Source organism: Homo sapiens, chromosome 15, assembly GCF_000001405.40.
Source record: "Homo sapiens chromosome 15, GRCh38.p14 Primary Assembly".
Lineage (NCBI taxonomy): Eukaryota > Metazoa > Chordata > Mammalia > Primates > Hominidae > Homo > Homo sapiens.
In genome coordinates, this window is record NC_000015.10 from 84,119,112 (window position 1) to 84,126,855 (window position 7,744).

At 38.0% G+C, this 7,744-nt stretch overlaps 1 pseudogene across 1 annotated transcript in view; it reads left to right on the plus strand.

The window, feature by feature from the left end:
• The window catches only part of EFL1P1 (elongation factor like GTPase 1 pseudogene 1), a 46,415-nt pseudogene extending 38,925 nt beyond the window's left edge, over positions 1-7,490 (plus strand). Inside the window, exons 8-10 of the transcript NR_036652.1 lie at positions 1,979-2,130; positions 2,392-2,558; positions 7,351-7,490. The product of NR_036652.1 is annotated as an elongation factor like GTPase 1 pseudogene 1 (transcript). The remainder of the gene's footprint in view (positions 1-1,978; positions 2,131-2,391; positions 2,559-7,350) is intronic.
• The last annotated feature ends 254 nt before the right edge of the window (positions 7,491-7,744 follow it).

Genomic DNA, 7,744 nt, shown 5'->3' on the forward strand with positions numbered 1-7,744 from the left:
TATATGTAAAGTGATTAACAGTCTCTGGATAATCATGATAAACCTGTTGGAAGAGACCATTTCTCTTTAGATGCTAGCAGGTACCTCTGGTATTTTTTCCTTCCTACTCTAATAATAAAAATGTGTTCTGCATTTATATTTTAATTCACACTTTTCAGATATTCATGTGAGTTTTTAGCAAAAGTCTAGAAACAAGGAAAGTTGTCAAAGGATTGGTTGAAGGAACGGCTAGAGTGCTCAGCCTGGGGAAGAGAAGGAAGGTGGGGAAGGCATGAATGCTGGTGATTCAAAGGAAAGGAGAGGGAAGTAGGTTTGTTAGATGTTGCTCCAGAGGAGAGAACTGCAGCCATGGCTAGAGATTGTGAGGAAGCAGAGTTCATTCTATATTTGAAAGTTCTGACATTTAGAGCTTCCTATAATGAGGAGCTTGTCTCTTGCAGTGGTAGTGTGGCCACCTAGTGCCAGCAATTTTGATTGCCTGACGAGACACCTGACCAAGCTAGACTCAAGGATTGTTTCTCATATTTTTGTATTCTATTGCACAGCCCAGTGACCTGCAGCAGAGTGGGTGTGAGTGGAAGGGCCTACTCTTGGAACTAAACTCATTGATTTTGAGGGACAGGTGCTAAGGAAGGCAGAAGTAGTGTCTAGTCCTGGACACTAGGACTAGAGAAGTCTTGTCCAGCAGGCGGATATCTGAAGAGTATAGCAGTGGACAGTCAATGATTTAAGCAGTCACCTTGCAGGTTAGCTTACATGAAATAGAAAGGTAGAAGGAGTTAGGCCGCTTTGCATCAGGAGCCCTAAGGGTCTGTGGCCATTTGGAAGGCAAGTAGGCAGAATAGCTACCTGCATGGCTTCCAGTGCTTACGGAGAGAGGAGGGGAATATGGCATGGCAAAGTGGGGATGAAGGTTATCAGTTAGGTGTGAAGTCTGAGATTGGGAAATAAAGCAGGAATCATAATATTAAAGGTGATGGAAAACACAGGAGAGAGGCACAAAGTGTTGGGACCATGAAGAGTTGTCCAGCTTCCAGAGCTGGAGCATAAAGTTAGGACCAGAAGATTAGCCTGAGTGCTTTGATGCTCAGTCCCAGAGTATAGGGCAAAAGATGCTGTTAATCTATCAGCCTTAGGACAGGGTTTGGTCTTGTTCATGTGTTGGGGTTGAGCATGCAGGTAGGTTCATAAGGACCCCTACATGGGAAGGGAGCCAAGTCCTAGGAAACAGTCTACCTGCCTGGTTTCTACCTTCCAAACCCAAACTCCCAAACAGAATTTGTATTCGACTTAGTGTTCCCCTTTTGTCAACACCTTTTTAGTATTAAAACTCTAAATACCTTTTCTGTGTCCTGACAGACATGAGGGTAGTTCTTTAGGAAAAAGAGCTTAATTACCTCCCCCACCCCTTCTCATTCTCACCCCCATGGAAAACCACACATACATACCCACACACTGCCTTTTCTGTGATGGTACTTCTTAGGTCTAACACAGTGGCTGATATTTCAGTTTGACCTTCTAGTCCTGATGAATTGCCAGTACTCATCCTGACCTTGAACCCTTCCTCTTGAACCCCAGTTATTGAGGCCTTATGCTTGTTTACCTGCCAGAGTCGTTCCAAACCCTAGTATCTGTCACTGTTTCCCTTCCTTCTTCCTGTTCTTTGCCTTTTCCAGAAGGAATATAGGTATCTGAGAAAGGTTCCATACTATTGTACATTGCTCCCGATGGGGACTTGGGCTCTTGCATGTCGGTTCATAAGCTCAGAATAGTTGGGACACAGCATTATTAGAGAGAGGCTGATAGGCCCTCTCTTATTGCTACAGACAGGGAGAGGACTCAGAGAAAACTGCCTGGAATGGAGCTGGGACCAATCTTCATCTTACCCAGCCACGTCAGTACTTGCTGTTTCCCTACTTGGATAAACTGAGAGATGCTTGATGCTGCCAGATGATAACATATTTGTGATATCCTGTAGGCCTCTCACTCAAGAAGAAATTGCTCAGAGACGTGAGCGTGCAAGACAAAGGCATGCAGAGAAGCTTGCAGCAGCGCAGGGACAGGCACCCTTGGAGCCCACCCAAGATGGGAGTGCCATTGAAACATGTCCAAAAGGAGAGGAGCCAAGAGGTATAGCTTTCCTAAGTAGGCTCTGTTGCAAAGTGTTTGCATTTTTGCTTAACTTGGGACACTCATCCTTTAGTTCTTGAGCTTTTTAAGCTTTAATCATAGTTTTTATTAATATTCTTTTCATTCTTGGTATTTTGTTTTCTTTTTTTTTTTTCTGAAACTAGACCAAACATATCATATTCGCTCTTCCTTCTGTGTTTCCAGACAGTTCTTGAATTAAGAGGGCATTCTTGGCACTAATTATCTTTTTGTTTCTGTCAGGTGACGAGCAACAGGTGGAAAGTATGACCCCCAAACCTGTGCTCCAGGAAGAAAACAACCAAGAGTCTTCTATTGCATTTGCTCGGGTGTTCAGTGGTGTGGCTCGAAGAGGAAAGAAAATTTTTGTCTTGGGGCCCAAATACAGTCCTCTTGAGTTTTTACGAAGGGTAAGAATTGAAAGTAAAATATTTATATATTGTTTCTCAAGGGTCTGATATCTTTTCACATTTTGTTGGGACTGGTGATCATCTTGTTGGTAGATTTAGTTTGTCTCTGGAAAGGCACACTTGAGTGACTGTGTATCTCCTTTTGTGTTGCTTTGATAACATTTGTCATATATGTCTCAATTAGTAGCATTTAGGAAACCAAATCAATATGTGGACCAAATTTTCAGGCCTTATTTAATTATAAGGCTTTTCTCTTCTAGGCAAGAATCACCTTGTGGTTAGAGAAAATAACTGATAAGAGCAGATGTCATGCTGGAGCCAGGGCAATGGCCAATCTCTGAGAAATAGGAAGATCCAAAAACTAGCTGGCTCAGGCCAAAGGTGTGGGCAGTGAGCAGGGAATAGGCAGGAGTTGCATGGCACACAGACCCTGAGTCTGGACAGGAGGGTCTGTAAGTAGATGAGCAGGCAGCATCTAAAAATGCCTGAACCAAGGGGCAAAACAGAGATCACAGGCTAGAGATGTCTCAGAACATTTTTGGAAGTAAGCAAGATATATACAATGTAATTATATCATAATTAAATAATAGAGGTCATAGGATGAAGACAGTGCCAGAGGTCCAAGTAGCCAGTCTGGATCAGCACAAAGCAGTAAGCTAGGAAATTGTCAGCTGGCACCGTGGAGCATCATGAGCACAAAAACACATGCTCCTCTCTGTGCAGGAAGCAGCCTGTCTGTAGATAAACCAGGGAAGCTGTGGTACTTGGCTACAAGTGAGAGAGAAGGAGGTAGCAGTTGAAGTAAGTCTCTGCCATCAGTTTTTCTTTGCCTTGAATGCTTATTCCATGAGTTTTAGCAGTTTAATCCTTGGAGAGTGCATTGCTGCGTGGCAGTGAAGCAGTCCTTGTTGAGCTATGGCATGTTCTAATTTAGCAAGAAAGATCGCAGCACTTGGTGTGTATAGGGTTATGTTTTATGGGAGTCTGAAAGTGATATGTATAAAAACTCATCTATGATTATCTTGGCTTGGACATAATTGATAGTTTGCTGTTTATCAGTAAGGGGCAAGTATCAGTTAATTTTTTTCTTTTTTTGTGAAGGTAAATGAGCAAGAAATTGTTATTTAGTGAAACATTGATTTATTTAGCATTACAAATTCCATGAACAATCCAATTTATCTCTGCATAATGTGTCTTTGCTACAGGTTGAAATCAGTTGCTTATGTGTCTCACATCTTAAGCAGGAATGATACAATACATTGACAGCTCAAATGGCTTCTTATTTCAGTAATCAGAGCACCATAAAACCTAATTCCAACTGATTAAAAAAAAACTGAAATATTTCAGACCTACCCTCAAAGTAACCTCTACCTAGAATTTGTGTTCATCTTTTGTGTTAGTTTTCTGTTACTGCATATTACAGATTACAACAAATGTAGCAGCTTGAAACATTACACATTTTGTCATCTCACAGTTTCTATGGGTTAGAAAACCAGACATGGCTTAGCCGCATCTTCTCCTTAGTGTCTCACAAAGCCACAATCAGAATGTTGGCCAGGGTGCATTCTCATCTGGAGGACTGACTGATGAAGAATCTGCTTCCAAGCTCACTAAAGGTTGTTGTCAGAATTCATATATTTGCACCTGTAGTACTGAGAGTCACAGATTTTTTCTGGCCATTGGCTGCCCTCACCTCCTAGAGGCCACCTACAGTTTCTTGTCATGTGGACCTTCCCAACTTGGAGGCTTACTTCATCAAGCCATATAGGAGAGTGGAAGGAGTCTCCTAGCAAGACAGAGTCCTGTATGATGGTATAGAATCACAGTGTGACATCTCATCACCTTTGCTGTATTCTGTTTGTTAGAAGAAGCAAGTCACAGGTCCCACTTACACTCGGGAAGGAGGTTTCTAAACAAAGGTGTGAACACCGGGAAGCAGGCATCATGGGAGGGGCACCTTTAGTCTGTCTGCCACATCTCTTGTTTTTCTTTATAGTTTTACAACCTGTGTATGTATTTCTAAAGAATATTGTCACATTTGCATGCTTTTGAAACTTTGTATAAATGGAATTTTACTGTAGTTATTCTACAACTTGCCTTTTTTTAACTTAACATTGTGAGATTAATCTGTGTTAATGCCTCCTCCCGTAGCTCGTTTATTGTTCAGTGTGGCATAGGATTCCTTTACTTAAATGTATGTTTTATTTATACAGTTTTTTGGTCACTATATATTTGCTGTTTTCGTTGTTTTTTTTTTTCAAATCTAAGCAATGCTACCTTGATTATTTTTGTATATATCTCCTTATGCACATTTACAAGAAATTCTAGGGAATATACCTATAGCAGAGTTGCCTTGGTAATCTGCTTAACAAGATAATTCCAATTTATTTTCTGAAGTAGCTGTGATTTACACTCCCAATAGGAGTGTTTAACAGTTCCAGTTGTTCCACATGCTCACCAAAATTTGGTTTTGTTAGGCTTTTGATTTGTGCCGGTCTGATGGGTATGATATGGTGTTTTGGAGTTTTAGTTTACATTTTTCTTATTACTCTTTTAATGCATTTATTGATCAATCTTGTGTTCTCATGTGAAGATATTAATAGTTCTTGGAGTCATTTCCCTGTTTTTCTGTTATGCTTCTTTATTGTTTTAAATACTGCTTTTCAGATGTCTTTTGTATATTCTGGATACTAATTCCTTGTCAGTTTTGAATTTTGCAGATTTCTTCTCCAGTGTAAAGCTTGTTTTTACTTTCCATTTGGTACCCTTTAATAGGCAGAAGTTCTTAATTTAAATATAGTCAAATTATCATTATTTTATGGGTTTTGCTTTTTAAATCTTAAAATTGATATTAAGTCTATATTGAAGTCACAAAACTTTCTCTTATGTTTCCTTCTGAAGTTTAATATTTTACCTTTCACGTATAAATATTTGATTCAATGTTTGTGAAGAAGGGATCCAAGTTCATTTTTTCCTCATATAAATGTCCAGCTGTTCCAACATTATTGAGTAGTCTATCTTTATCCACTAATTTGCTTTGTCCACTCTTTCAGAAATCAGATTATTACCTATGTACATAGATCTGTTTCTGGACTAATTTTATTTTTTCTGTTTGTCTCTAACTGTCTCTGTTCGATGCTTTCTTCATTTTTCAATGTTTGACATCAAAAAGACCAAATCCCTTTACCATGTTTTTGTTTGTTAGTGTCTTGTTTGTTCCTATTTGCTCCTATATATCAAGTTTATGGTCAGCTTGTCAGCTTCTATGAAAAGCCCTGTTGAGGCTTCGATTGGAATTACTTTATGTCCATACACCTATTTGGCATGAATCAACATTTTATAATACAGCATCTTTCCATCCATTAAAGTATTAGGTTTATTTATTCATTTAGGTCATTTTAAATGTCTTTCATGAAGTTTTATAGTTTTATTTATAAAGAGTTTTGATCATTGTTATTAGATTTATTACCCACTATCTTATATTTTGTTGCTATTCTAAAAATCGTTTTAAATTTACATATTTTCTATTTATTGCTATTTATTTATGCATTTTCTATTCCTAATTATAGAAGTGTAATTAACTTTTTTATATTGATCTTGCATTTTTGCCACCTTGCTAAGCTGTCTCACTAATTATAATTTATCTGTAGCTTGTTTTAAGTGGATGGTCATATTGTGTAGATAATTCCATTTCTTTCTATTCAGTTCTTATAATTTTTCTATCCCTCCAGCCCATCTTTAGAGCTACTTTGAGAGTTGTCATTTTAGCAGAACACATACATTTAGATGTAACATGTGCCTGAAAGGTCATCATTTTCATGAAGTTTCTAGAGTCTACCCTAGCACAGGGGCCTCTCCTTACTCTGAACCTTTATGAATTTACTTGCCTATACTACCTTTTTGTTGGTCACCCTATGCTTGTGATGTTAATCATCTTTGTTTATGTTGTATGTCAGCCATTTTTTCTCTTCATAGCATTAGGGCAGCACCCCAGGCCTATGAGCACCAAAGATAGGTTGATTGGTTAATTGAAATGCTTTCTGGATACTTGCATTTATATGGTGGATATATTTCTGAAAACGTCACACAATACAAAATTTGAATCATTTGAGACAATAGTTCCATAAGAATAAATATGATGTACGGGGAGCTAATAAATCTAATGTACTTGTACTTGTATATTTTTGCTGTAAATGTACTCTGTCCTCTCATTAGTGTTCCTAATATATCACAGCATGCTCTTCCATATGAACAATATAGCATATAATAGCAGTTAGGCCTTTTTTTTTTTTTGGCATTTTTATCACATCTAACTACCCTTCCAAAGTTATTTTTATATGTTACTTGGCACTAGCACCAGCCCTTGTTGAATACTTGAAGAACATTATAAATAAAACAACTTGAAAGGATAATAGTAATAATGAGTTTTCAAATGATAGCACAGTAGTCACCAGAACTGGTGTATGACATGGTTCACATAAATAACCAGGGACTGTGAGGATCAGCTAAAGTGACAATACCAGGTCACAACAGAATTTATGTTACTTAGCCATAAAGCTTATGATTAAATGGGAATCTAGACAATTTTTTAGTATTTGAGAAGTTTCAGTATTTCAAATTTTATTCATAAAGTGAGGCATATTTTATCACACCATTTCAAATGTTCATATTTCAGGTTTACATGAAATGTTGCTATACCATATCTTACTGATGAATAAAAATAACTTTACAAATACCAGTTAATGCTTCCAAATGCCTCCTAACTTGTCTTCAATCATTTTTCTTTGCCCAGGTACCATTAGGCTTCTCAGCTCCACCAGATGGCCTCCCCCAAGTCCCCCACATGGCATACTGTGCTCTGGAAAACCTGTATCTTCTGATGGGAAGGGAACTGGAATATCTAGAGGAGGTACCTCCAGGAAATGTGCTAGGTAGGGTGATGCTGTTTATTTTATCCTTACTCCATTCTAGGAGATTATCTAACATGTCACTGAAAATTTAGTGAAATTTTTGAAGGGAATAACTTTATTCTTTAGATTGATAGTTTTTTTTTCTGGTATCTTTAACTTAGTACATTTGAGTAACTAACATGGAGATCAGTTACTTGCTGTGAATTATAGTAGTTCTGTTTTTAAAATGTATTGCTTAAGTAATTTGTAAATGCTCTAGCCTAAGCTGGAGTTCCA